Source organism: Homo sapiens, chromosome 9, assembly GCF_000001405.40.
Source record: "Homo sapiens chromosome 9, GRCh38.p14 Primary Assembly".
NCBI classification, from domain to species: Eukaryota; Metazoa; Chordata; class Mammalia; order Primates; family Hominidae; genus Homo; species Homo sapiens.
The window spans coordinates 135,960,020-135,987,617 of record NC_000009.12 but is presented as its reverse complement, the minus strand read 5'-3'; the positions used below and the strand labels follow the sequence as shown (position 1 = coordinate 135,987,617).

The 27,598-nt window shown below is 57.7% G+C and overlaps 1 protein-coding gene across 1 annotated transcript in view, besides 7 other annotated features; it reads left to right on the top strand.

Moving 5' to 3' along the window:
* Positions 12,984 to 13,766: an enhancer, noted in NCBI's record as "H3K4me1 hESC enhancer chr9:138865698-138866480 (GRCh37/hg19 assembly coordinates)". NCBI's record gives its function as "activates a minimal SCP1, AML or CMV promoter by ChIP-STARR-seq in naive and primed H9 embryonic stem cells {active_cell/tissue: H9 hESC(naive and primed)}" and the evidence as "EXISTENCE:reporter gene assay evidence [ECO:0000049][PMID:30033119]".
* Positions 15,386 to 15,571: a silencer, noted in NCBI's record as "fragment chr9:138863893-138864078 (GRCh37/hg19 assembly coordinates)". NCBI's record gives its function as "represses an EF-1alpha promoter that drives an FKBP-Casp9 reporter gene in an ReSE screen in HepG2 liver carcinoma cells {active_cell/tissue: HepG2}" and the evidence as "EXISTENCE:reporter gene assay evidence [ECO:0000049][PMID:32094911]".
* Positions 18,534 to 19,167: an enhancer, noted in NCBI's record as "H3K4me1 hESC enhancer chr9:138860297-138860930 (GRCh37/hg19 assembly coordinates)". NCBI's record gives its function as "activates a minimal SCP1, AML or CMV promoter by ChIP-STARR-seq in naive H9 embryonic stem cells {active_cell/tissue: H9 hESC(naive)}" and the evidence as "EXISTENCE:reporter gene assay evidence [ECO:0000049][PMID:30033119]".
* Positions 26,096 to 26,505: a silencer, noted in NCBI's record as "silent region_20494". NCBI's record gives its function as "represses an Ori minimal core promoter by ATAC-STARR-seq in GM12878 lymphoblastoid cells {active_cell/tissue: GM12878}" and the evidence as "EXISTENCE:reporter gene assay evidence [ECO:0000049][PMID:35858748]".
* Positions 26,096 to 26,635: a biological region, named in NCBI's record as "H3K27ac hESC enhancer GRCh37_chr9:138852839-138853339".
* Positions 26,125 to 26,625: an enhancer, noted in NCBI's record as "H3K27ac hESC enhancer chr9:138852839-138853339 (GRCh37/hg19 assembly coordinates)". NCBI's record gives its function as "activates a minimal SCP1, AML or CMV promoter by ChIP-STARR-seq in primed H9 embryonic stem cells {active_cell/tissue: H9 hESC(primed)}" and the evidence as "EXISTENCE:reporter gene assay evidence [ECO:0000049][PMID:30033119]".
* UBAC1 (UBA domain containing 1) overlaps positions 26,245 to 27,598 on the top strand; it is a 28,405-nt gene continuing 27,051 nt past the window's right edge. The window contains exon 1 of the mRNA NM_016172.3: positions 26,245 to 26,593. Coding sequence (NP_057256.2) covers positions 26,456 to 26,593 — 138 coding nt within the window. The 5' untranslated portion in view covers positions 26,245 to 26,455. The remainder of the gene's footprint in view (positions 26,594 to 27,598) is intronic.
* Positions 26,516 to 26,635: a silencer, noted in NCBI's record as "silent region_20493". NCBI's record gives its function as "represses an Ori minimal core promoter by ATAC-STARR-seq in GM12878 lymphoblastoid cells {active_cell/tissue: GM12878}" and the evidence as "EXISTENCE:reporter gene assay evidence [ECO:0000049][PMID:35858748]".

Sequence of the window (27,598 nt, the reverse complement as noted above, 5' to 3'; positions counted from 1 at the left end):
TTGTTTATTTATTTTATTATTATTATTTTTTGAGATGGAGTCTCTCTCTGTTGCTCACGCTGGAGTGCAGTGGTGCAATATCAGCTCACTGCAACCTCTACCTCCCAGGTTCAAGTGATTCTCCTGCCTCAGCTTCCCGAGTAGCTGGGATTACAGGTGCATGCCACCATACCCAGCTAATTTTTGTATTTTTAGTAGAGATGGGGTTTTGTCATGTTAGCCGGGCTGGTCCTGAACTCCTGACCTCAGGTGATCCACCTACCTCGGCCTCTCAAAGTGCTGGGATTACAGGCATGAGCCACCGCACCCAGCCCCTTTGGGCATTTTTAAAATCGGGGCTAAAGCAGATAAAGGAGATTTTTTTTCTAAGGAGGAGAAAATGCAAAGTCATGAGCTAACAAAAGAATTTGGTCAAACGTGACCTTCTAATAAGAATTGACGTTAAAATTATGGTTTTAGCCATATTTCCTTTCAGGAGCAGTTAAAGACGCTTTTTGAAGGTGAGAAAATTAATTTTTGAGTTTATATTACACACTGTAACACAGAGGGCTGTGCACACGGTGATGACATTAACCGTCACGTACTTGGCAGAGGCAGTGTGGACTCTGGCCGGATGGGATCCCGGCTTGCTGGGCCTGGACAGAGGGGCTGCACCCCCATGTCTCCAGCCAGGGGAGGGGCAGGGGCCCAGGCCCCCCGGGAATGGCAGTGGAGGGCTGGACCACCAGAGGCCCCGACCAGCTTGTCCGAAAGGGTGGGCTGCTCGGAGCCTCCTGTGAGTACCAGGCCGAACGTGCAGGCGAAATTCCAGTCACGTGTGGGGCTTGGTGCAGGCTGGGGTCAGGGGTCAGGGGTCAGAGATGCAGCCGGGGCCTCCATCAAGCCTGGGTTGGTGACCAGGGAGCTCCGGGAAGTCCCTGGCTGCCTGGGAGCCGGTGCTGAGGACCCGGCACGGCACCCCTGCACTGCTCCAGGCCTGTCAGAGCCAAGGGCCTGTGTGTGCACCAACCGCCCACCGCGTGCCCCCCAGGCTGGCCCTGGGTGCTTCCTCCCAGGAACCCCCCGAGGCGGGCGCCATGGACACCCTCATTTTCTGTGGAAGGAAGCAAAGGTTCAGGGTGGGGTGTTTTGCTCAAGCTCACGCTGGGCAGGGCCAGCATTCCTGCCCTGCCCATCTCACCCTGAAGCCAGATCTCCTTCCCCTCCCTGGGCCTCAACCTCCCCACCTGGGAGTGGGGCAGGCCAGGTCCTCTAGGCCCCCTCCAGTCTCGCCTGCTGCTGGCACTGGCTGTGGCAGGGGACTAAGCTGAGGGGGCCCCAGGGCAGACAGGGAGGCTGCAGGGGCCCGGCCACAGCCCTTGGCGCCCCTCACCCTCCAGCACCGCCCCTGCAGGCCCTGCACTTGGCTCCGTTCTCAAACACCCCTTGGCACGAGTGAACGGCTCTCGGTCCACTTCAGAAGAAGCATCCTGCCGGCCACGCGGACACGAGAGCCTGAAGCACCGATGGCATTTCAGACCTGATGCCTGCGCAGGGACACAGGGACATTCGGGACGTGTCCAGCTCCACACCAGGCCCGGGAACGCAGGATGAGGAGGACAGCCTGGGCTGGAGGTGCAGGTTGGGGAACAGGCCGCTGCTGTTGGCCCCCACAGGCTTTCAGACCCGTTCTCTGGACCTAGGAGAGGGGGAGGCCGAGTGCCCAGGCCAGCTGGGGGCAGCACGTGGAGGTTGTGAGCATGGGTTGGCTCTGGAGTCATGGCAGAGGGCTGCGCAGGTGCCAGCATTCAGGAGGAGCAGGAGGAAGGGGCCTACCCCAGGGAAAGAGAGATGGGGGTAAGCGCAGCCCTCAGCGCGTCCTTTCTGATTGCCTCCGCTGCCTCGTGTTCACCCGAGTCCCAACCAACACGTGAGCAGAGCGCTTCACAGGGGTCAAGAAGCTTGAAGCTTGGAGACTGACCCACCCGTGTTCAGCAGCTGGGGGAGGAGACAGCGTCAGCAAGGCCGCATGCCCAGGACACAATGGCGGGTATGGGAGCCCTGGCCAGAAGGGCCAGGCCAGGGCCCAGTGGCGGGTGGCGGCTTATGGCCTTCCTTCTGGTAGAAGGGGGAAAAAGGCAGGGAGAGGAGGCCGACACCACCTCCAGGAAGCTCTCCCCGCCTGATTCCCAGGCTCTCCCAGATAAGGCGGGACACTAGGAGGTGAATTTTAGGAGACTTTCCAACAAAAAATAGCCTAATAGGCTTTAGCATTTATTTATTTATTTATTTATTTATTTATTTATTTATTTATTTATTTATTATTGAGACAAGGAGTCTCACTCTGTCACCCAGGCTGGAGTGCAGTGGCACAGTCTTGGCTCACTACAACTTCTGCCTCCCAGGTTCAAGCGATTCTCCTGCCTCAGCCTCCTGAGTAGCTGGGATTACAGGCACATGCCACTAGGCTCGACTAATTTTTGTATTTTTAGTAGAAAGGGGGTTTCAACATGCTGGTCAGGCTGGTCTCGAACTCCTTACATCATGTGATCTGCCCGCCTCAGCCTCCCAAAGTGCTGGGATTACAGCCTTGAGCCCCGCGCCCGGCTGGCTTTAGCATTTAAAGGTTTAAAGTTTCAGGAAATGCACTAATCCGTCACTCCGCCTCTCTCCAACCCATGGATGCCGGATAAGAACAGATAAGACCCGTGTGAGGGTGACTGCCACGGGCTGAACTGTGTCCTCCCAAAAAGATACGTCCAAGTCCCAACCCCCAGAACCTCCGCAGGGGACCTTATTTGGGAATGGAGTCATTGCAGAAGCGATTGGTTTAGATGAGCCCATCTTGGAGTGGGGGGCCCCTCATCCAGTGTGCCCCCACAAACCGTCCTTACAGGAAGGGGAGTTAGAGACGCAGGCACTCAGGGCAGAGACCTGCAGCCACAGAACCCGGGACCCAAGGGTGGGCGGCACCAGGAGGACCGAAGGGGCCTCAGAAGGAGCCTGGCTGTTCCTGATTTTGGGCATCCGGCCTCTAGAATGAGAGGACAAGCGTCTGTTGAGTTAAGCCCTCCAGGCTGTGGGCTTTTATGCTGCAGCCACAGGATGGGGACACGGGCATGACGGGACAGCTGCTTGCCGCCCTCAAGCTAGCCCAGCAACTGGGCTGGCCCCTCATACAGCTGCCCACGATGCCCTCCAGGCGTTTCCCCAAGTCGACTTGCTCCGCTTCCTTGTCCCCTCCAGCCCCTCTGTGTTTCTCGGCCACTGCCAGGCATGGGGGGCGCTTGAGCCTGGAGACGGTAACTCTAGGTGAGGAGGATGCACAGGATGGGGCCCGTTGTGCCATCCCATCGCCCGGCACTCCCCACCCACTACGGAGCCCAGCAGAGCCCTCTCCTCCAGTTCCCGCCTCTTAGCGGCTTCCCAGCCCCTCCTGCCCTTTAGGGTAGGGTTGGGGTTAGGGGTGCATCGCTGAGGACCTGACTTAGCTCCTTCCCCTCCCCTGTCCTCCTCTGAGGACAGGAGGGCTGGTTGTAGCTGAGCAGGGGTGCAGGGGGAGGGGTCCTGGGCAGTGGCCCCCACATCTCACATGGGTCCCCTCCAATAAGACTTGGATGGACTGCGAAGTCTCATACCTGTAACTTCAAATTAAAAAAGCCATGTGCTGCTTATGGGCGCTCCCCGCGCTCGGAGCGGCCCCATAAAGATCATATCAGAGTACAAGGCATTATGCGGCGAGTTTACTATATATACATTCCTAAATGGTTCAGCGAACAGCAGCCTACTTACGGGCAGGGAAGGAGAACTGCTTCATTTGGAGTAACAAATGATCCTTGATTTGATTTTAAATGCAATGACAGCCGAATTTATTTCTTATTTAATCACTTCCCTGTGCAGTTGAGAACAGGGTGATATTAAACTCCACAGTGCAGAGCAGGCTCTGGAATCAGCTGAAAGAGGCACGCGAATAGATTATGTTTATAGGGCGGCGCGGGATTGTAGCGCAAAGCACATAACCAGAATGGGTATTTTTGTCATTTATACAGTAGCTTATATCATTATTTCTTCCTGCTTCCAATTTTTCTGTAATAAAAATATAGGCAATGTGATTCTCTTTGCATTACAGATAAACCATCTTGATTCTTTATTAAATATTTTTATTAATCTGAAGCACTACAAAGCGTCTGAGCAGATAAATCAGGCTGGGCGCAGTCATTTTCCCTCTGCTCGTGCTCCATAAAGCAGCTTCATTTATGAGTGAGCAACACCAGAAAAGAAGGTTTCCATATTCATTACCGAGCTCCCGTATGTCTCTGCTTCATGGCCATGTGGACTCGGCAGAAGTAGTGCTAACGGGATATTTGTTCTTCAAAATCCAGTCGGTTTGGCTAATCGCTAGACAATCCCCTGTTTTGTGCTCTATTTAATTAGGAATTACTACGCGGGCGCCACTCTTGGGCACAAGCTGGGAAACGCAGCCCCCTCGGCTGCTGGGCAAGGAGGGGTCCCCTGGAGGGGTCCCTTGGAGTGCAGGAGAGGGGAGGGCTGGACAGGACCCAGCGTGTGCCTGGGGCCTCAGAGGCCACGGAGCAGCAAGAGGCTACCAGGTGTGACGTTGGGCCAGCCTACAGCAGGGGGCAGGGTCAGCCGGGACGGAGGCAGGAACAAGGTGGCAGAACATGCCTGCTATCCTCACCGAGATGGGGGACAGGTGGGTGAGGGGGCAGGCTGCGGCCATCAGTGGGGTTCTGCTTCTTGCTGGAACATTCTCTTTCCTGCCCCGGCCGTAGACCCACCTTAGCAGGTGGTGGCAGCCAGCTGTGCCCCCAAATATCTTTCCGTTCCCTTCCCTGGCTGCTCCGGCTCTGAGATGACAGCACAATAGTGCAGACCCCCAGGATCCCCAGCTCCTCCCGGCTGATGGCCATCCGTGCTGGTGGCCCTGCCCGGGACCGCTCCTCCTGGCTGATGGCCATCCGCGTTAGTGGCCCTGAGGCATCCCTGGGTGGCTGATCAATTGTCAATAGGAGAAATGACATATAAACTTGGTCTGAGACTGAATGAGGCCCTGGAGAAGATGCCCTGTTATCTGTGGGCCCCGTTACCTCCACTCCCCTGGCCTATCGCTTCCTGGCCAGTCCAGGCCATGCTCCCATCTCTGGCTCTCACCACCTGCCTGCCCTTTCAATGACAAGGCCCCACTGTTTCCTCACTTCAGGGGCTCTCTCCTCCTGCTCCCTGAATCCTCACAGAGGTGGGACAGCTGAACCCATGGTCAGGCACCTGCTGGAGAGGTGGGTCAGATCCTGACTCTGGCGTCCTAGGTTTGGTGACCCTGGACGAGCTCTGCCCCTCGTCCACCACTGTTTTCTCCTCCAAAGAGTGGGGTCTCCATGTCCACCTTGCTGGCCTCTGGGAGGGGGCGTCATCTCTCCTGGCTGGGGGCTATGTGGCCATGACCTTGGCCCTAGAAGCACGCCCTAGGTCCGTCTCGGCCAGGTGATGCTGGAGAAGGACGCCCTAGGCCCGTCTCGGCCAGGTGATGCTGGAGAAGGACGCCCTAGGCCCGTCTCGGCCAGGTGATGCTGGAGAAGGACGCCCTAGGCCCGTCTCGGCCAGGTGATGCTGGAGAAGGACGCCCTAGGCCCGTCTCGGCCAGGTGATGCTGGAGAAGGACGCCCTAGGCCCGTCTCGGCCAGGTGATGCTGGAGAAGGACGCCCTAGGCCCGTCTCGGCCAGGTGATGCTGGAGAAGGACGCCCTAGGCCCGTCTCGGCCAGGTGATGCTGGAGAAGGACGCCCTAGGCCCGTCTCGGCCAGGTGATGCTGGAGAAGGACGCCCTAGGCCCGTCTCGGCCAGGTGATGCTGGAGAAGGACGCCCTAGGCCCGTCTCGGCCAGGTGATGCTGGAGAAGGACGCCCTAGGCCCGTCTCGGCCAGGTGATGCTGGAGAAGGACGCCCTAGGTCCGTCTCGGCCAGATGATGCTGGAGAAGGACGCCCTAGGTCCGTCTCGGCCAGGTGATGCTGGAGGCAAGACATGGGGAGGCTTCGTGGCAGGGCTACGCCGTGGAAGGCCCGTGGTCCTCGGAGGAGCCTCACGAGCCAAGGCTGGGAAGGAGCAGGCTCGGGGGAGTTCTGAAGGCAGCGTCATGCCTGTAGCTCCTCGGGACCTGCGCTGAGAGGAGCACCGCCAGGACCCTTCCCAGCGCACCTGGACACGAACACGTGTCCTGCGACAACCTGCGAGCAGGGTGGGGGAGGGTCATGTCCTGGTTTCCCAGCCTGGGGCGAGTGGTGGCCAGGCCTGGCCCCTGTGGGGTCCTCGTCCCCTCTCCCAGGGCAGCAGGGCTCCCCCATTACCTCCCTCACCTGTGTCACTGTCCCTCAGCCTGGCAGGGGGCACCCACGGGCCCTGGGCTGCAGACAGTGTGTGTCTGGGAGTGGGCAGGGCCTGAGACTCCGCTGCCACTGCTGAAAGTGCCTGAGCGGAGGAGGGTAGGGGCCAGGCTGTCTGGCCAGGCACCAAGAGAACGCTGTGTTCCCGCCGCCTCCTCGTCAGGGACCAGATCTGAATGCAGCTCGTGTGTCCAGGCCTAGCCATGGTGCCCAGGCCGCTGATGCCAGCCTGGCCATGGGGGGAGGGGAGAGGCCAGAGGAGGAATGGGAATGAGGCACTAGGCTCAGGGACCACCCCCAACCTGAGCCCCAAAACTGTGCTGGGGGGCCCTGCACAGCAAAGTCAGCTGACTGAGGGGGCACCTCTCAGACCCTGCTCCTCTGGGAAGTTCTGGTCTTGCTGGAGGGATGGGGATAGGGGTAGAGGTGGGAGGAGGGAGCCGATTAATTTCCAGGAACCACCCAGCGCAGCCAGTCACCAGCCTTCTCTGTGCCTCAGTTTCCCCATCTCTTAGCAGGAGTGGTGACTACCTAGAGCTTGTGCTGCCAGCCAGAGGTGGGGTCCCAGTGGCCGGCACAGCCAGGTGGGCAGGTGCTGCAGCCACTGTGGGAGTGAGGCCACCCACAGCTCTAGGGAACCCCCCCCCAGCACTCTCCCCGAGTCTGCAGCCCACTCCTCTTCCCAGCCTTGCTGGGTTGCCCCATATGCTGTCTAAAGAGGGGTGCGGGACCCAGGTGCGTGTCCTGCCTCCATGACACAGGGACTGTGTGACCGGGACAGTCCTCACCCACAAACGTAGATGGAAACACCCACCCTGGCCTGACACGGGGGCTCACCCCTATAATCCCAGCACTTTGGGAGCCTGGGCAGGCAGATCACTTGAGGCCAGGAGTTGGAGGCCAGCCTGGCCAACAGCGAAACCCCATCTCTACTAAAAATACAAAAAATATTAGCCAGGTGTGGTGGCGGGCGACTGTAATCCCAGCTACTCTGGAGGCTGAGGCAGGAGAATCGCTTGAACCCGGGAGGCAGAGGTTGCAGTGAGGGATCGCGCCACTGCACTCCAGCCTGGGCAACAGAACAAGACTCCGTCTCAAAAAAAACACAAAGGAAATGTCCACCCTCCTGGGCCAGGCCTGGGTGGCCTCAGGACGGGGGACGGCTGTGGACTCAGCACAGGGACCTGCATGGCCTCAGCACGGGGGCTGGCCGTGAACTCAGCACGGGGGCCGGCCGTGGAGATGGAGATGGGGATGACCCCCATCACTAGCTGGGCTTTGGGGCCAGAGGAGGAGGCAGTGAGGGCCGTGGTCCTGCATTGCCTGCTGGGAGGCTCCGGCTGTGCTGGTTCAGCCATGGGTGTTCCCTGGGTGCCGGGCCTCCCTGGGTGTCCCTGGAGGAAGGGCAGGTATGTCTACCCCTGCCTGGGGTGGTCTGCAGACCCAGGACTGCCCTCCACATAGCCCAAGGTTGGGACAGGCCACCACCGCCTGCAGCTGAGTCCCTGCTGGCCCCCAGGGTCTAGGTTCTCCCAGACGCCCTAGCAGGAGGCCCATGCCACAGATGGGGACCGGGCTCAAAACGCTGTGTGCCTGGATCCTGAAGCCAGATTGAAATCCAGTGTCCTCGTGGTTCATATTCCACGCTCCCGTTTCCAACAATTAAATGGTGTCGTTGTGCCAGGCCAGCCTTCTGGTGGGAGAGAGGAGGGGACGGGGTCCAGGGGAAGGGGGTGGGGGAGGCTCTGGCAGGGTCTGGCTGAGGAAGGAAGGCCACCCCCTCTCCTCCTCCCTGCAGCCGCGTCCCCGGGGGCAGTCGGGTGAGGGCCCTGGGAGGGGCCCAGGCTCTCTGCCTGGCTGCTGCCCCAACCCGGTCCTGTTTCCTGGGCTTGGCTGGCAGCCTCCCTGGCCATGCTGCTGTTGCTGGTTTCCGGCAGCTCGGCTCTGCCCCTGTGTCTGGGGACTCATTTTCCTCCCCGATTGTCATGCCTTCAAAGGGCTCTGTGGTGGTTCTGGTGTCTGGGCTTCCTGGCCTCCCTCTGGTAGAGTTCAGTGACATGTGGCAGGTACCCCAGCTGCCACACCCTGCCCCATGCACCTCTGCTGTCAGAGCTGCTGGTCACGCCCCACCCAGAGCCACCCGGAGCCTCTGCCCTCAGGCTCGGAGGTGTCTGTCCTGACAACTGCAAGCCGGTGCCAGTCTGGAGTTGGAAGCCCGCAAAGTGCTAGTCCTGGTTGACAGACAGGAGATGGAGTCCAGGTGGAGACAGCAGTTTGCCCCCAGAGCCCAGCGCATTGGGATGGGGAACTGACTCCCCGGCCCGGGGTTCCGTCTCCGCTGGTTCCTGTCCCCTGTCCCTGCAGAGGGGCTGATGCCTGGAGAAGCACAGAGAGTGAGGTAGACACCGGGGAGGCCCAACACCTGGACTTACCCCCAGGCCCTCCTGGGTCTGAGAGGAGAGCCCCTGGGGAGGTAGAGAAGCTGGGGCCCTAATAGGGTGTCCAGGGCTACTGAGGGGGGGGGATGGGGGCTGTCCCAGGGCTACTGAGCAGGGGATTGGGGGCTGCCTCAGGGCTGCTGAGGAGGGGATAGAGGCTGTCCCAGGGCTGCTGAGGCGGGGATGGAGGGTGTCCCAGGGCTGCTGAGGGGAAGATGGAGGGTGTCCCAGGGCTGCTGAGGAGGGTAGGTGGGGGCTGTCCCAGGGCTGCTGGGGGGGATTGAGGGTGTCCCAGGGCTGCTGAGGGGAAGATGGAGGGTGTCCCAGGGCTGCTGAGGAGGGGATGGGGGGTGTCCAGGGCTGCTGTGGGGGGGATGGGGGCTGTCCCAGGGCTGCTGCAGGGGGGATGGTGGGGGATGGGGAGTGTCCTAGGGCTGCTGAAGGTTCTGGGGGGTGTGCCAGGCAGGGCTGCTGAAGAGGGGATGGAGGGTGTCCAGGGCTGCTGAGATGGGGGATGGGGGTGTCCAGGGCTGCTGAGGAGGGTGGGTGGGGGGTGTCCTAGGGCTGCTGAGAGGGGGATAGGGGGTGTCCCAGGGCTGCTGAGGGGTTCTGGGGGGGGTGTGCCAGGCAGGGTGTCCCAGGGCTGCTGAAGGTGGAGGTCTAGGGGGGTGTCCCAGGGCTGCTGGCTGGGGTGGTCTGGGGGTGTCCCAGAGCTGCTGAGGGTGGAGGTTTAAGGGGGCATCCCAGGGCTGCTGAGGGGGAATGGGGGTGTCCCAGGGCTGCTGGTGGGGGGGTCTAGGGGTGTCCCAGGGCTGCTGGGGGTGGAGGTCTAGGGGAGTGTCCCAGGGCTGCTGGGGGTGGAGGTCTAGGGGAGTGTCCCAGGGCTGCTGGGGGTGGAGGTCTAGGGGGCTGTCCCAGGGCTGCTGGGGGTGGAGGTCTAGGGGGCTGTCCCAGGGCTGCTGGGGGTGGAGGTCTAGGGGGGTGTCCCAGGGCTGCTGGGGGTGGAGGTCTTGGGGGGTGTCCCAGGGCTGCTGGGGGCGGAGGTCTAGGTGGGTGTCCCAGGGCTGCTGGGGGTGGAGGTCTTGGGGGGTGTCCCAGGGCTGCTGGGGGTGGAGGTCTAGGGGGGTGTCCCAGGGCTGCTGGGGGTGGAGGTCTGGGGGGGTCCCTAGGGGGATGGGGGTGTCCCAGGGCTCCTCTCAGGTAGTTAGCAAATGCTTTCTGAGAAGGGCCAGCAGCCGGCACATGTGAGGACTCTGCAGAAAGGCTATGCGTTCCATGAAAGGGTGAATTTTGTGTTCTTCGAGTCCAGCCTGCACTGCACGGATAGTTCTGGTTTTTATGATTTTACAACTTGACTTATGGAATATTCAGAGGCTCCAAGGCACCATGGGGGCTGGACGCCAACCCACTGCAGAGTGAGAGGGGCCCGAGGCTGGGACGGAGGCCCCAGAGCCTGTGACCTGGGCCCTGGCTGGGTGGTTTCCCCACCGCTGTGTCCCACCTTTGCCCACCACCCCACCCTGCACCAGGGAGAAGGTGCAAGATCCCTCTGCGACCCCTCTTCCTCCCGGGGCCCAGGTTCTCCCAGCTCTCAGTGATGTCGTACTGAACTGACGACAGCTGCGTGCAGAGAAATGCTCCAGCCAAGGAGGACCTCGCCCTCCCGGCCCAGCTGGCCGCAGAGGGGAGCGGGGGTTGGGTAGGAAGCCCCTGTGCCTGCATCTGCCTCCCTCTGCCTCCCTCTGCCTCTCTAGCGGTGACTTCCCGGGAACTAGCAGACTCTGGGGTGCTCCATAAAAGGGCTTCAGGGGTGTTTGTACACCACCACACCCTGACACCAAATGTGTGGATTTTCGACACCAACCAATTCTCCAGGCCTCTGTAGACACAAACGGGGTGTTTAACAACTCAGTTCAATGCCGACACCAACTACCCAGAGTTTGCGCAGACCCCAAAGGCAGGCTCAGTCCCACAGGACTGCCCCCACCTCAGCTGCCAGTCCCCCGTTGGGGCCACCGCTGCTTCTGACCGACCGGCTATAAATCGAGGGTTCCCACAACCTCCTCCTCATTTGCTAGAATGACTCACAAAACTCAGGAAACAGTTTACTTACTGCTACCAGTTTATTACAGAGGATCAGCTCCAGAACAGCCAGATGGAAGAGATGTCCAGGGTGAGGTGTGGGGTGGCCAGGGCCTCCGGGTCCTCCCTGGGCACGCGTTCCTAGCACCCGGATGTGCTCATCAGTTCGGAAGCTCCCTGGACCCCATCATTTAGGGGCCTTTATGGGGGTTCTATTAAATAGGCATGACTGACCAAACCATCAACCACTAGGCACTGACTCAACCTCAAGCCCCTTCCCCCTCCCCAGGGTCAGGGGGTAGGGTTGAAGATTCCAACTCTCTAACCAGTGGTTGGTCCTTCAGGATACCACCCCCACCCTGAAGCTGTCTAGGGGCTCCCAGCCACCAGCCATCTCATCGGCATCCCAAAGGCAAGCTTGTCACTCAGGGATTCCAAGGGTTTTAGGAGTCTGTGCCAGGAATCCTGGACAAAGATGGAATAGATATTTCTTATTATCACGCTATTTAAGAATTCGTGGGGGGCATTCAGCTTTAAAAAGGTAGGAAATTCTGGCACACACTCCAGCCTACACAATACTCCGAGGTCCATGGATGAACCTGGAAGACATTACGCTAAGGGAAAGGAGCCTGTCAAGAGGACAAATACTGTATTTGAGGTCCCTAGGGTCATCAAGCCCCTAGCGACAGAAAGTAGAATGCCGGGTGCCAGGGGCCAGGAAGTGGGAACAGGGAGTTAGTGTTTAATGGGGACAGAGTTTTCGTTTTGCAAGATGGGAAGTTCTGGAGATGGACGATGGGGATGCTCGCACAGCAGTGTGAGTGTGCTTAATGCCGCTGAAGTGTGTGCCTGAGAATGGTGAAGATGGGCTGAGTGTGGTGGCTCAAGCCTGTAAACCCAGCGCTTTGGGAGGCCGAGGCGGGCAGATCACCTGAGGTCAGGAGTTCGAGACCAGCTTGGCCAACCTGGTGAAACCCCATCTCTACTAAGAATACAAAAATTAGCTGGGCATGGTGGCAGGCGCCTGTAATCCCAGCTACTCAGGAGGCCGAGGCGGGCAGATCACCTGAGGTCAGGAGTTCGAGACCAGCTTGGCCAACCTGGTGAAACCCCATCTCTACTAAGAATACAAAAATTAGCTGGGCATGGTGGCAGGCGCCTGTAATCCCAGCTACTCAGGAGGCTGAGGCAGGAGAATCGCTTGAACCCGGGAGGTGGAGGTTGCGGTGAGCTGAGATCACACCACTGCACTCCAGCATGAGCAACAGAGTGAGACTGCACCTCAAAAAAAAATGGTAAATTTCATGTTATGTGCTCTTCACCACAATTAAAAATTTTAGAAATGTGTATTTAAAAATTTCTTGGAGGGAAAAACAGATGGGGATATGTCAACGGGACCCGGGAGCCAACCTGAAAGAGCTCCCAGTGGCCAATGCTGGGACAACTTGAGTGACAAAATAGCATAACCCCAGGTCACAACCCACCGTGTAACAAGGACACATGCGTCCGTTCTGCTGTAAATTAAAGATTAAATAAGCAAGTAGTGGGAGATAATGGATGCGTCTCTCATGCAGAATTCCAAATAACGTATGTAGATACCCCCGAAGGAGATGGACCTGAGTCCCCACCCCTGAAGTGTGGCCTGTTCTTAGTGGCATCTTCCAGAGACGACAGTATTGCGGGGCAGGGGGTCACTGATGACAGAGCAAATACCAGCAAACCCTCCTCGGCCAGGTGACCGAGGTCAACACTGGTAGTGAAGGCCGTGCTGGCGGTGTCCCCCGATGCGGTGTGGTGGAAGGGTGTGTCACCTCCATGACACATCCATCACCCAGTCCAAACCCATCACCCAGTCCAACCATGAGGAACACCAAAGACGGAGCCCAACTGATGGACGCCCGACAAACACCCGAGCAGCAATTCTCAAAATCGTCACGGTTGGCCGGGTGCGGTGGCTCACACCTGTAATCCCAGCACTTTGGGAGGCCAAAGTGGGCGGATCACCTGAGGTCAGGAGTTTGAGACCAGCCTGGCCAACATGGTGAAACCGAGTCTCTACTAAAAATACAAACATTAGGCCAGGCTCACGCCTGTAATCCCAGCACTTTGGGAAGCAAAGGACGGGAGGGCAGATCACCTGAGGTCAGGAGTTCGAGACCATCATGGCCAACATGACGAAACCTTGTCTCTACTAAAAATACAAAAATTAGCCAGGCATGGTGACGTGCGCCTATAATCCCAGCTACTTGGGAGGCCGAGGCAGGAGAATTGCTTTAACCTGGGAGGCAGAGTTTGCAGTGAGCTAGATGGCGCCATTGCACTCCAGCCTGGCGACAGAGTGAGACTCCGTCTCAAAAAGCAAACAAACAAGCAAACAAACAAACGCAAACAAACCAACAAGCAAACAAACAAACACAAACAAACCCATCAAGGTCATGATATGTGCAAGTCATGCGCTTCAAAAACTGGGACATCTGGACCAGGGCTTGGGAGGGTCCCTCCAGCCCCAGACCCCAGGCCACTTTGCAGGCCGGCTGGTGTGGCAGGTCCCTGGCCTTGGCCCTCCCTTGTGGCACGGAGCTGTCACAAATGCCTCCATCCCCATGTCGGAGCCGCTACTGCATGCAGGTGCCTGCTGGATGCATGGGTAACACCTGTCCCAGAGGAAGGGAGCCTCGTTGAGGAGGAGGGGGGCCCTCAGGGAGACAAGGCCAGCAGGGGGACTGCAGGGACTGGCGCTGGGGAATGGTGTTTTACAGCGAGAGTGGGTGGAATAACCACACTTTAACCCATCATCATGTGGACAGTTTTGTTATGAAAAACACCAGAAAGCCATTAATGTAAATCATGAAATATTCAGCAAGGAAGTCACTTAAATGTCTCGTGTTCCCAGAAATGGTGCCGAATGCTTCCTGCATCGGGGGTGCCCAAACATCAGCTATTTTGTGCATCTTCAGAGGCCATTATCACAGAACTGGAAGCATTAGGTCATCACCGCAGACGGTGGGCCTCCTGCGGCTTAGCTGACAAGTGGGTGAGAAAAAGAGGAGCCTCTGCAGGCAGCAGCCACTGCCTCCCCTGAGTGAGCCAGGTGGGACAGTCACCTGTGTGCACAGCCCTCCGTGTTAAAGTCCTCCCTTCAACACAAAGTCCTGCCTGCCACGAGGATGATGAAAACAGCTGCCCTGTGTTTCCTTCTGCACTCTGCTCCACACCCCACATGCATTTCCTCCTTCCCTCTGAGGACGGTCTCAGGTCACGTGTGGCTGAGCGGTGAGGCAACGCTTTGGGTCCAGCTCTATTTGGCTCCAAAACTGTGCTCTCCACCACCATCTTGCCTGCCTGTAGCAGCTCCCTCTGCAAAAACCCAAAGCGAAGCAAAGCAAAACACAGTCAGAAAAGAAGGTGATGACGCACCAGTTAAGACGGTGCACGACCCAAACCAGAAAGTAACAACAACAACAACAAAATTCAAGATAGAATTACCGTACGGTCCAGCAGCTCCACTGCTGGGTCTACACCCAAAAGAACTGAAATCAGGGACACGAAGAAATATTTGCACACTTATGTTCATAGCAGCAGCCACAATAGCCAAGAGATGGAAGCAACCCAGGTGTCCATCAATAAATAAATGGATAAACCAGTGTGGTCCACTCATACAATGGAATATTACTCAGCCTTAAAAGGGAAGGACATTGGCTGGGCGCGTGGCTCATGCCTGTAATCCCAGCACTTTGGGAGGCTGAGGCAGGTGGATCACGAGGTCAGGAGTTTGAGACCAGCCTGGCTAACATGGTGAAACCCCGTCTCTACTGAAAATACAAAAATTAGCTAGGCATGGTGGCGCACGCCTGTAATCCCAGCTACTCAGAAGGCCTAGGCAGGAGAATCACTTGAACCCGGGAGGCGGAAGTTACAGTGAGCCGAGATCGTGCCACTGCACTCCAGCCTGGGCGACAAAGTGAGACTCCACCAACAAAAAAAAAAAAAAAAAAAAAAAGAAGGAAATTCTGACACAGGCTACAATGTGGATGATGAACCTTGAGGACATTGTGCTAAGTGACATGAACCAGCTGCAAAAGAACAAACACTATATGCTTCCACTTATATAAGGTCCCTAGAGTAATCAATTGCATACAGACAGAAAGTAGAAAGGTGGGTGCCAGGGGCTGGGAGGAATGGAGAGTCAGTGTTAATGGGGACAGAATTTCGCTTGAACCCAGGAGGCGGAGGTTGCAGTGAGCCGAGATCCCACCACTGCACTCCAGCCTGGGCTACAGAGTGAGACTCCATCTAAAAAAAAAAAAAAAAGTAGGTAAATAAATAAATGAACTACACACTTAAAAACTGGTTAAAATGGTAAATTTTATGTTATGCGTATTTTACTAGAATTTTTAAATAAAAAGATGTGGATGGTGAGGAGTGTTGGTGAAGGGCCCTGGCGTGTCCGGGGAGTGTTGGTGAGACAGGAATTCATAGCGGCCTGTGGCTGAAAGGACTCCAGCCTGGAGCGTGGCCAGGCTAGGGGCGTTTCAGCACCTTGGAGAGGGACACCGCCACACCTGGATTGCCTGGGCGGTGCCTCTAGACCTGGGTGCATAGGGGCGTTTCAGCACCTTGGAGAGGGACACCACCACACCTGGATTGCCTGGGCGGTGCCTCTGGACCTGGGTGCAGGAGCAGGAGGTCCTAGCAGCCTCTGTGGGCTCCCTGCCTGCTCTTTTCCTCTGGCTGAAGCAGGGAAGGTGCTTGGGGAGACTTCCCAGAACCCCGCCCCTCTGGCCTGATGCTCGTAGCACTCCCCTGGCCAGGCGGATGTTCCTCGTGGAGGCTGTGCACTTGAGGGGTGCCCCGGCCCAGAAGAGAGGGAGGGATGCAGTGAAAGGTCCCAGCAGGCAACAGTGCCCCAGAAGGGGCTTCGGAGGCCCAGGTCCCACCCTTCTCTGCACTGCCCACCCCCATGGCCTTGAGAAAGCTCCTGCCCTCTCTGGGCCCCTTAACCCCACCCCACGAGGGCTTTCTGGGGCCCAGGGTTTCCCAGCCTAGCCAGAGCAGGAAGGGCCCAGGCGAAGCCAGCACAGGGAGGACAGAAGCTCCGGTTTCTTTTCTTTTCTTGAGTGCCCCTGGCCTGCAACCCCCTGGTACCAAATTCTCAGCTGGGGTGATGTCATCCCCTCCCCTCCAGGAGAGTCTGTTGTTGTTCTTGTCACAGGGAGGCAAGGAGTTGCCCTATTGGCGTTTAGTGCCCGGGAACTAGGACGCCAAACATCACTCGTGTGAGACAGCCCTGCCCCCCAGCATCCTCCACCCCAGGCCCCTGTGACAAATTACTGCAAGTTCCACGAATGCCATTTCAGCCCAGAGCACGCAGACTTCCGGAAAGTAGGCCCGCTCAGACGCTGTGACATGATTCCCGGGGATGGTAAAGACATCTGGTTACAGTAAAACCCTGGTCCTGAGTCAACAGCGTTCACCCAAGGGTTGCCGATGCTTTACTTTCACACAGTGCTGTCAACTAATTGCATGCTGGAGGTTTACTCCAACCCCGGGACCTGCATGACAATACCCTGGTTGCTGGGAGTCGCCCTGTGGGTCCCTACCATCGAAGTCACATTTCTTACCATTGCTCTGAAAAGTGAGTTGTGATGGAGGCCATGCAAATTAAAATATAATTCACAGAGCCATCTGTGAGTGGCTCACCCTCCATAAACAGTTTATCATTTTCAGGGGAAATTTGCATCGCTGGCCCCTCCGATAGGAGTTCATTCATTCATTCACTCACTCAGAGAAATCCAGCGCAAATGCAGACAGAGCTGTTACCTGCACCCAGGCAAGCGCAGTGTGGGAAATGGTAAGACCTGGACTTGTTCTGTCAAGGGCAAGAAAGGGCAGAGGTAGACAAGGGGATCTGGGGTGCTCAATGCGCTGATCCCAGAGGACCTGCATGTGGGGGACCACGACATGGGGGTCCTAACTCCAGCCTGGTGGGGGCTTCCTGCCAGGTGATGGGGGAAGGGGAGAGGGCCAGGCTGAAGGGGCTGGGCTGTAGATGCCTGGGGAGAAGCTTTGTGGGTGCAAAAAGCATGGAAGCCCAGAGCGGCCCGGAGCCGGTCTTCTTGGGGGCCAGCTGGGGTGGTGCTCCCATCCTGAGAGGCTGACATGGTGGGACCCTTTGGGGTTTCAGGAGGGAAGCTCCCTCTGGCAACAGCCGGGGCACAAGGAGGCCAGCCATGGTGATGGTGCCAAGTCCCAGAGGAGGGACGGCATGAGGAGGGCCCTTCCCACTTGCCACCACCCATCTCTGGAAAGGGGGCATCAAGAGGAGCTCCTACTCACATGAACAATTATGGAAAGGAGTTGTGAAATCGGATTTTCCACTTAAACATGTGTGCAGTGAGCTGCCACGGCTTCCTGGGCACTTGGGAGAGCCTGGAATTGCATTAAGTAATAGAAACCACCCTGGGAAGCTGCTCCCAGGGAAGCTGTAGTGGCTGTTCCTCAGTCCAGCCCTTGGTGCCATCATTTCTGTTCCATCAAAATAGAAGATCTAAACTTCAGGCCAGTGGGGCCTGGTCCTTGGTCTCTCTAGATCTGAGGCAGCAGAGAGGGTGAAGAAACACCAGCCCTGGCACTGGGTGAGTGTGGGGTCCAATCCTGGTTTGCAATGCCATTGTACAGATGAGGACATCAAGGCCCAGAGAAGTTAAGTGATTGCCCAAGATCACACAGCAGGCAAACAGCAGTGTCAGGATTTGAACTTGGCATCTGTCTGACTCCATGGCTGTGCTTCCCAACCTCAGTTACCTATGGCAAAACTGCTGTGGCCCAATGAACAGAGTGGCTGCAAAGACATAGGAACTGGAGGGGGACCAGCTTATAAACCGTTAAGTGCCAAGCGGAGGGCCACCCATTAACTGCTATTTCCATGGGCTGACTGCAGTTGGGAACTGGTGCAGGGCGACCTGGCATCCCCCGTCCCCCACATGGCAGGGACTAGCCCCGTTGTGTCATTGAGTTCCTGGGTCCCGGCTGGCCAGAGTGGTCACCGCCATTTCATTATTTAGGGGCTGGAAAATTACTATTCATGACAGCAAACTTAAAAATGAAATAATAAGTCCGTCCTTTTAAAGAGCAAATTGTGATGCTAGAATATTCATGAGCTGTGACTTCATGGGAAATGGCAGCAGCAGGGAGATTATCATTTGGTTAAGTCAGCAGCCAAGGAATTTAGGGAAATGCACTTGTCAGTCTGAGGAAATGGGTGATTAATACTTTCCTGTTTGCGGGGCCCCTTAACGGGCGCATTTTTAATGTAATAATTAATTAACCTTGGGATCACTCACATTTCACAAGCTCCCAATGCCTTGGCTCCTGGAGGGTGGGGGTGTAGCCACCTTCCTGCCCCCTGGCCCCCGATCCCATTCCCATTCTGCATGCCGGGACACTTGGAACTGACCCCCCTCTGAGGTCACGAGGCCTGAGACCTTGGCTGAGAGGCTGAGGCCAAAGCTCATGGGAGACTTGTGTGGTGAAGATGGGTTTGGCCTGCCCTGGGCAAGGACAGGGTGGGACTGTTGAGGCCGGGCAGGGTGACGAGGACATGCCCTGTCCTAGCGAATGCCTATAACCTCTTCGTGGGTGCAGTGAGTTGAGTAGGGGACCCCAAAACTCATGTCTACCTGTAGCCTCCAAATGTGGCTTTATTTGGAAGCAGACTCTTTGCAAATATCATTAGTTAAGAATCTCAAGATGAGATCATCCTGGATTTAGAGTGGACCCTGAATTCAACGACTGGTATCTGTATAAGAAGAGAAGAGGACACAGAGAAGAGGCCACGTAGGACAGAGGCAGGGATTGGAGTGATGCAACCACAGGCCAGGGAGTGCCATGAAAGCTGGGACAGACCCCCCCTTCGGAGCCTTGAAAGCAGCCAAGCCAGCCAGGGCCTTGGCTTAGGGTTTTTGGCCTCCAGACAGGGGAGGATGCGTTTCTATTGTTTTAAGAACCCTGGTTTGCAGGGCCTTGTTCCAGCAGCCCCAGGACCCTCCTACAGCGGCTGTCCCTTTCCGGGGCTGCTGGAGAGTAACGGAGGGAGGCCTTGTGGGCAGGGTGGGGGACCATGTTCCGAGAACCCTGGAGTCCCCAGGGACTGACTGTGTGGGGCCTGATGCTGCTTTTTCAGTGAGCAGGACCAGTGACTAGATGCTCATCCACTCCTCTCTCTGCACCTGAGCGTCTCCTGCTGCAGGGGGTTGAACCAGAGCTGTGCTTTTCAAGCTGGGTTTCCCAGCACACCCATAGGGGCCTGGGAGTCAGAATGCCTCGGTGCCGCCCTCCAACCTCCTCCCTCCTGCTGCCTAGAGAACTCTTAGTCATCCTTTACGGCCCATTTCCAGTGCCCCTCTCTGGAGGTGCTGGCCTGAGCTATCAGGGTCCTTAGAGCTCCAGGCATCCCCCACCCCTGTAGGCCAGCTCCTGCTCCCAGCCCAGGCTCTCGCATGGCCCCCTGCAGGGTTTGTGGATCAGAAGCAGCAATCTCAGGCCCCGAGGCCCTGAGTCATTCACACACACAGGCACACATGCACCCATATATACATGCACAGCAACATGCACACCCCCCCACATAAACATGCACACATATGCATACATGGCACACACACATGCATGCAGACATATGCATGCACACACACAGCACATATGCACAGTGCACACATGCACACAACACGCCCACACACAGGTGCACACCCCCCCGCACACATGAACATGCACACATATGCATACATGGCACACATGCACACGCACACATATACACACACGGACACATGCACGCATACACATGGCACATATACACAGTGCACACATATGCACACATGCACACAACACGCCCACACACAGGCGCGCGCGCGCGCGCACACACACACACACACACACACACGCCTGCACACTCACCCCCACCACCTCGCCCCTCCAGGCAGGCTGACAGCTCAACTGCACCCTCTAGTGGCTGGCTTGAGGCACCACGGCCAGGCTGCTGCTTGTTGAGTTTCGGGTTGGGTCCAGGCCACCTGGGGGTGCAGTGGATGAGAGCGGCACACCCCACCTCAGTCACACTTGGAGCCCCCTTTGCCAGGAGACCCTGCTTGGCCTGCCCAGCCAGGCGCTGACACCATACGGGGGCTGGGGGCTCTGGCCACATCTGCCCAGGGAGCTAAGTCGAGGCAGGGGTCGGGGAGACCGTGGGCAGGATGGCCTTGTCCTTAGCTGCCACCACCCAGGGCAGCTGGGGCTCCTCCAGGGAACTCTCAGGGCCATGGCAAGAGCCAGGGCAGGCTGGGGTGGCCTCACTCCAGGCCTCGGGCCAGGACTGGCTCTGCCCCTGCAGATGCAGGGAATCTGTCACCTGGGCCTTCGCTGATTCCCTGCAGGGCCTTGGGCAGCTACGCCCAGACCAAACGAGGCAGGGGGAACTGGCAGGCAGCTCCAGGACAACGCACCTGGCCTGCCCCTTCCTGAGAGCTGCAGGGAGTTCCGAGGGCTGACGCCACCGCCGCGGAGCCTGCTCCTGTAGCTGTGGTTGGGGCTGGGGTAGGGTGCCCGGCGTGGCTGTGGTTGGGACTGGGGTAGGGTGCCCGGCGTGGCTGTGGTTGGGACTGGGGTAGGGTGCCCGGCGTGGCTGTGGTTGGGACTGGGGTAGGGTGCCCGGCGTGGCTGTGGTTGGGGCTGGGGTAGGGTGCCCGGTGTGGCTGTGGTTGGGGCTGGGGTAGGGTGCCTGGCGTGGCTGTGGTGGTGGGCTCTCCTGGAGGCCCCTCTGCAGCATGGTCTTGGGGCCCAGCCTGGTCCTCCTGGCCACAGGAGGTTCTGAGAGCGCCCCAGAAACCCCTCCGTGAATTCCTTTTCTGCCTGAACTGGTCAGAGCTGGGGTCTGTTGCTGCAACGAAGAGGCCCCCGAAGCGGCCCCTCCCCCACCCTAGGAGCACGGGGCTCATTCTCCAGCAGACCGGAAGCCTTGTCTATCTTCTTCCTGCTGCACCCCCGGGCCTAAAGCAGCACCCAGTGCACAGTAGGCACTAAACACACAATGGACCAATGCACCAAGGGGGGCCCGCCTGGTGGGTTCCCTGGAAGCAGAAGCTGAGATGGAGTTTGGGGTGCACTGGGGACCACACCTGCTGGATCAGCCCAGGGAGGCAGCGTCGGGCAGAGGGAGAAGCTGAACCTTCATGCAGGCCTTGGCCAGCCGGGGGGCAGGGGGCAGGTGGCGGGGGGCTCAGGGGAGGGCTCCCTGCCGGGAGACCCTCTGAAATGGCTGGGTCTTGCCACCCCACTCAGCTCTGCCATGCAGGGAGGGGTGTGACCTCAAAGGTGGCCTCCGAGGCTGAGGCTGAGGCTGAGGCTGAGGCTGAGGGATGGGGGCAGCAGGTCCTCTTTCAGAGGGGGCTCTGGGTCGTGTCTCCATGTCCACACCAAAGCCTAACCCTCCTAGAAAGATAAACGGAGGGTCAGAAAGAAAAGAACCGGCCAGGCACAGTGGCTCATGCCTGTAATCCCAGCACTTTGGGAGGCCAAGGCGGGCGGATCACCTGAGGTCAGGAGTTCGAGACCAACCTGGCCAACATGGCGAAAACCCGTCTCTGCTAAAAATACAAAAACTAGTAGGGTGTGGGGGCAGCGCCTGTCATCGTAGCTACTCAGGAGGCCTAGACGTGAGAATCACTTGAACCCAGGAGGCAGAGTTTGTAATGAGCTGAGATCGCGCCACTGCACTCCAGCCTTGGTGACAGAGCAAAACTCTGTCAAAAAAAAAAAAAAAAAAAGACAGAAAGAAAAGAACCTGCCCAGGCCTCTTGACTGGGAAGAGACAGTGTGGATGCCAGACTGGGCCATTTGACTCTGGGATCTTCCCTTCATGCTGGCCCCTCACCCCAGGGAGTCCCAGAGAGTGGGGCCTGGGAGGCCTCAGGACAGCCTGGCCACTGGAGAGGGACTCCCCCCAGACCTCTCTGGCATTGCTGTTCCTCTCCTACGTTCAGGGGCTGGGGGGAGGTACTGCCAGCTGACCTCAGCCTGGGGCAGAGCTGCCACCAACAGGGAGGTGGCTTCCAGCAACTTCCAGGCTCCTTGCTGACACACTTGGTGTGCCGAGTAGTGTCCCAGAGGAGGTGCAGCCAGGGCGGGCTTCCTGGAGGAGGAGGCCCTGAGCCTGAGGAATGGGCTAGGTTGGCACAGGCTTCGAGGTAGGGAGAGAAGCAGGAGTGCTGGTATGGCCGGGAGCAACCCAGGGGTGAGGGAGGGAGGGGCTTCACTGAGGCTCAGGATGCAGGGTGAGGGGCCAGGCCAGGCCAGGCCAGCCTGAGTGCTTTGGCTGCACGAGACACAAGAAGCCACTTCTGACACAGACAATGAGGGAGGAGGAGCATAAGCCCTTGTCCAAAAAGGACAGCATCAGAACGGCAGAGGCCGATGACTCCAGCAGGGTGGGAACTACCTGCCACTAAGGAGCCCCTGCTGGGCTCCCGCTGTACCCGGGGGTTGGGCCCGAAGCCTCTCTGGTGGCTGGTTGGTGGCCCTGATAAACACACATCTGTGTCCCAACCCTGGAACTGTAGTGGGAACTCATTTGGGGAGAAGGGTTTTTGCAGATGTAATTAAGTTCAGGATCTCCAGGTAAGATCATCCTAGATTAGGGTGGCCCCAAATCCAATGACAAGTGTCCTCATGGGAGGCACACAAAGGACAGCCATGGGAAGAGGAGAGGCTGCATGAAGATGGAGGCAGAGGCTACAGCCATGTGGCCACAGGCCAAGGAACCCCGGAGTCCCCAGGAGCTGGAGGAGGCAGGAAGGACCCTCCCCTGTGGCTCCAGAGGGAGCGTGGCCCATGAACACCTGGATTTCAGACTTCCGGCCTTCAGAACTGGGCGAAAATACATTTCTATTGTTTTAAGCACCACCCCCCAGCCCCAGTTTGTGGCAATTTGTTATAGGAAACAGCCTCAAACCCATGAGAGGAGGGGAGACAATGAGAACCCATCAATTGACAGCCTCGTGGGTGAAGCGGGGTGGGGGCTGGAGTGGTCTCAGAGTACCACGAACCTCCTATCCTTCCACGGGAGGGCACAGGCGTTCCTCCAGGACTCAGGTCAGCTTTGGCTTGAGTCTTTGCTAGCGTGGCCTCTGTGGACCCTTGCAGGGTCCTTGTGATGGCACTGTCCCCCCGCTGTAAAGCCCGTGGCCAGGAGGAAACAGGGAGACTGGGAAGGTTTGATGCCAGGATGGGGGGTTCAGATGTTTCCTGTCAGAAGCAAGCGGGATGCCCTGAGGCCACAGCTTCAGCCCCCTCCCCAGCCACCCCATCCCTCCTCCTTCCTCCAGCCCCAGCCTCCCCTCTGCCCGCTCTCACGCTCAGCCCAGAAACGCGCCCAGCCTCTCTAATGTAAACATGCTGCTGGGCACCCCGTGGCTGGTGCCCTCCTCTCTCTGTTCCCCCAGCCTTCTTGGAAGGTGGAACAGGTGCATCTGTGGCCTCTTGGTGGCTTTCCCATGGCTCCATCCTTTCCCTGTCACTTTGTCCCCTCCCTCTTTGACTTTGGTCCAGAGGACATCAACAAACATGGCTCAAGCAAAGGCTGAAAAACCTGCTGCGGTGGATCCCAGACACTCCCGTGGGAACTCACTGGGGAACATGAGACCGAGGCTGAGGGCCTAGGGATCCCGACCAGCCCACCTGCCAGCCTGGCTTGGTCAGCAGCACCACCCAGCCAGCCGTGGACTTGTGAGAAGTGATGGAGAGCTGTTGGTTGTTTTACCCGCTGAGTTTTAGGACGGTTTTGTTATGCAGCATCACTGTGGCTGCAGATACCAGATCTGCAGCCAGGCAGGCTTGGGCCCCAGTCCCCTTCCGGTCCCTGGAGACGCTCCCTGAGATGACGTGATATTTCTGGTTCTTCTCTTACAGGCCCCATTTTCTCCTCAATATCTTCTCCGCCTTGTGTTTCATGGAGCCACACTCTTGGAACTTTCCTAGTACCATACTCCTCTGTTTTCTTCATGAGCTCCTCTGCATGGGAAGGGGGGTGGGCATCCTCTTAGTTCCAGCTGCCGCTGGTGTGCTCATGACTGGTTTGACTTTTTTGTTTTGTTTTGTTTTTTTGGGACGGGGTCTTGCTGTGTTGCCCAGGCTGGAGTGCAGTGGTGCCATCACGGCGCACTGCAGCCTGGACCTCCTGGGCTCAGGTGATCCTCCCACCTCAGCCTTCTGAGTAGCTGGGACCACAGGTGTGCACCACCACGCCCAGCTCATTAATTTTTTTTATTTTTTGTAGAGGGTCTTGCTACGTGGCCCAGGCCGGCTGCCCAGTGTTTGTCTCCAGCCCAGGCCTCTCTCCTCAACTTCAGTCCTGTAGGTCCAGCTGCCTCCAGGCCACCTCCGTGTGAATGCCCCCAGCACATCCAGGTCCCCGTGTCCAAAACTACCCAACACCTTCCTGGCCAATGGCTCCTCCTCCTGCCTCCTACTTCAAAAGGTGGCACTGCCCTGCACTCTGCCACCCACACTGGAAGTCTTCAAGTCATCCTTGATTTCACTCTTGGGCCCACACCCTCCAATCCTGCTGGCCTCCCCTCCCACAGGCCACTGGAAGCCCCCTTCTCCTCTTCCTCTCCCTCCGCATTGCTCCCCCGCAAGGATGCCCTGCCCTCTTCCCTGTCCCCTCCACAGTCACCACCATTCATTCTGCCACCTGGTCACACCGTTAGTGGCTCTCACAGCAACGTCTTAATGCTCTGACCCGGCTCCTCCAAGCCCTCTAGCTTCCCCCACTCTCCACTCACCACCTTGGTGTTCCTCCCCTTTCTCCTCCACCAGCTTCCACGATACTACCACCACCTCCACTGCGGTCTCTAACAGTCGGTACTTCTGCTTCCTGCGTTAAAAATGCCCCATTCCAGGACTGTATCCTGGTGTCTGGTCTTAATCACTACCATATTTTCATTGAGTAGCAGAGGCTCCCACCTGTGAGAGGCAATTAGTAAGTGCTGAACTGGACACATGGAATCTGGACGAGGTTGGAATTATCACAGGAGAAAAATGAGGATGTGTGTGCAAAATGGTGTGGACAGAATAAAAGCCTGCAGGCAGGAGGCAGAGACAGCCTCCCCGGTTAGATTGCTAACCTCTGAGAACGGGAACTGTGCCTTATTCATCTCTGCGCAGTAAAGTTTTTTTAAATGAATGGGATGAATGAGTACAGATCAGTCAATGTGTCAGGTCTAACCTGAACTACAAAATTCATATTTAGGAGCATGGTAAGTAAGACGTTATCCAGGACTGTTGAGCTAGGTACAGAGACCACTGCCAAGGGGGCTTGCAGTGGGGAGAGAGGTCAGGCTCAACTCCCAATACAGCAAGGGCAAGTGGGTGGGGTCAGTGAATGGAAAATTAATAGGAGAAAACATCAGGGATGTGGGCGGTTCTGGCTAAACCGACCTGACAGGGTTCTTGCTGAAGAGAGGCTGGAGATATCAGACAGCACCTGGGGGACGAGGAACCTGACCAGACGTCCAGGGTGATCTGATATTGAGGCTGGGAGTTCTTGCTAAACTCACTTATCAAGGCTCTTCGCTAAAACTGGATTTTACAAGGAAGTGTACAGATGATGTAGAAGGTTCAGGAGCCTGCTTAAGTTTGGCCAAGCAAAGACTCTTTGTCACACCCCACAGAAAATGAGTCTGCCTGGCATCACCTGCACCAAGGGCGGCTTCCCTCCCCTCTGGGTGCCCCGCAAACCTAGGCTTCGCAGGAACAGTGACTCTCTGATCTGCGTGTGAATTAGAAAGACCTAGGCTTGTTAAAGCCAAGTTCTTTGGAGAGCCTCCGTTCTACAGCAGTGCAGTGCAAAAGAAATATCACAGCAGCCATGTAGGCAATTTAAAATTCTATCTTAAAAAGGTTAAAAGAAACAGGTGAAATTAATTTTAATGACATATTTTTCTTAACTCAATAGATACAAAATATTATTTCAACATGTAATCAATATGAAAACATTATCGAGATGCCTTACATTCCTTTTTCCCGTTACTTCTTTGGGATCCAGCGTGTATTTTACCTTTAGAACCCATGAGGTCCCACGTGGTGAGTGCCCCGGGTGGGAACCGCCTGCAGCTCGGGGAGGAACGAAGCTACCAGAGAACTACAGCTCCCGGCATGCTCCGGGCGCGCCCCGTGACGCACTTCCTTTGCGGTGGCCACAGCGCGCCCCCGGCGGCGGGAGCGAGGCGCCTGTCCGAGAACCACATCTCCCGGCATGCGCCAGACGCGCCCGTGACGCACTTCCGGTGCGGCCGCGACGGCGCGCCCCCGGCGGCTGCTGCGGCGGCGGGAGCGAGGCGACCGCTGAGGCCGCGGAGAGTGACGGCGGCCCGGCCGACGGGAGCCGGGGCGGGGCGGCGGCCCAGCGAAGGAGCGCGCGGGCGGTCTGGCCCCGCCCCCTCCCCGCCCGCCTTCCCGGTGACCTTCAGGGGCCCGGGTGGCGGGCGCAGGCCCCTGCGGCGGCGGCGGGATGTTCGTGCAGGAGGAGAAGATCTTCGCGGGCAAGGTGCTGCGGCTGCACATCTGCGCGTCCGACGGCGCCGAGTGGCTGGAGGAGGCCACCGAGGACACCTCGGTGGAGAAGCTCAAGGAGCGCTGCCTCAAGCACGTAAGGCCGGGCCCCCTCCCCTGCCCCCAACACCCGCTCCGGACCCCTCCGACTGCGGACCCCGCCTCAGTCCCCGAACCGCCCCGACCTGGGGTCCGCCGCCCAGTCCGCAGCTCCCAGGCCCTCTCCTCCGGGGGTGGAGGCAGCGCCTCCTGCCCGTTTGCCCGACTCTCCCCCTTTCGGATCCCACACCTCTGGACGCTCGTCCCGGGCCTGGCCTTTCGGCCGGCGGACTCCGGTCACTAAGCGCTCGCCCCGTGCCAGCCGCCCGGCCGAGCCCTGTACACGCCAGCCTCTCAGTTAACTCTGCAGCCACGCAGGGAGGTAGGGGCAGATCGGGAAACTGAGGCCTGGAGAGTGAAGTCGCCGACGGAGCAGGGCCTCGGGACTTTCCGGCAGTTGTACCTTTTTGCTGTTGGGGTGAGGTTTTTTTTCAGCAGCATCTTTGAGAGCTGAGAATTAACGTAGGCTCCTTCATGAAGAGGCCCCTTCTCCTTCCTCTTCCCCTTTCCCGCAGAGCCGGCTGCTTGGAGCTCTTTTCCTGGCTGGCCCCAGGCCACTGTGCCTTTTAGCTGGAGTCCCTGAAATAGTGCCGCTGCGGGACAAGGCCCTGCGCCCCTGCTTTTCTGCAGAGGTAAAATTGGTCAAGAGAGAAGTCCCAGGAGTAGGGTCTCCTCGCGGAGACACTTTTTAAAGTTTATTCACCTGAAATACTCCTGTGTATTTAGTTCCTTAGGTTGCTGATTTTTGGAACTAGTTCTCGAGTCTCTAAAGGACTCAGTAAGGTCAGCTAAGAAGCCTGTCTGTGTGTCAGACTGACCTCCTGTCTATACCTGACATGATCTGAGGGCTTGGCAGAATTTAGGTTGAAGGAGGCTGCAATTTTCTAGTGGCGACTCCATGTGATAAGTTACGACGTATCTGTGTTGACAGGTTGAGTGCGTTACACTTGAGCTGAGTGTGGTCTCTAAGGATAAACTTCAGTTCTTACCATAGTAGCTGCTC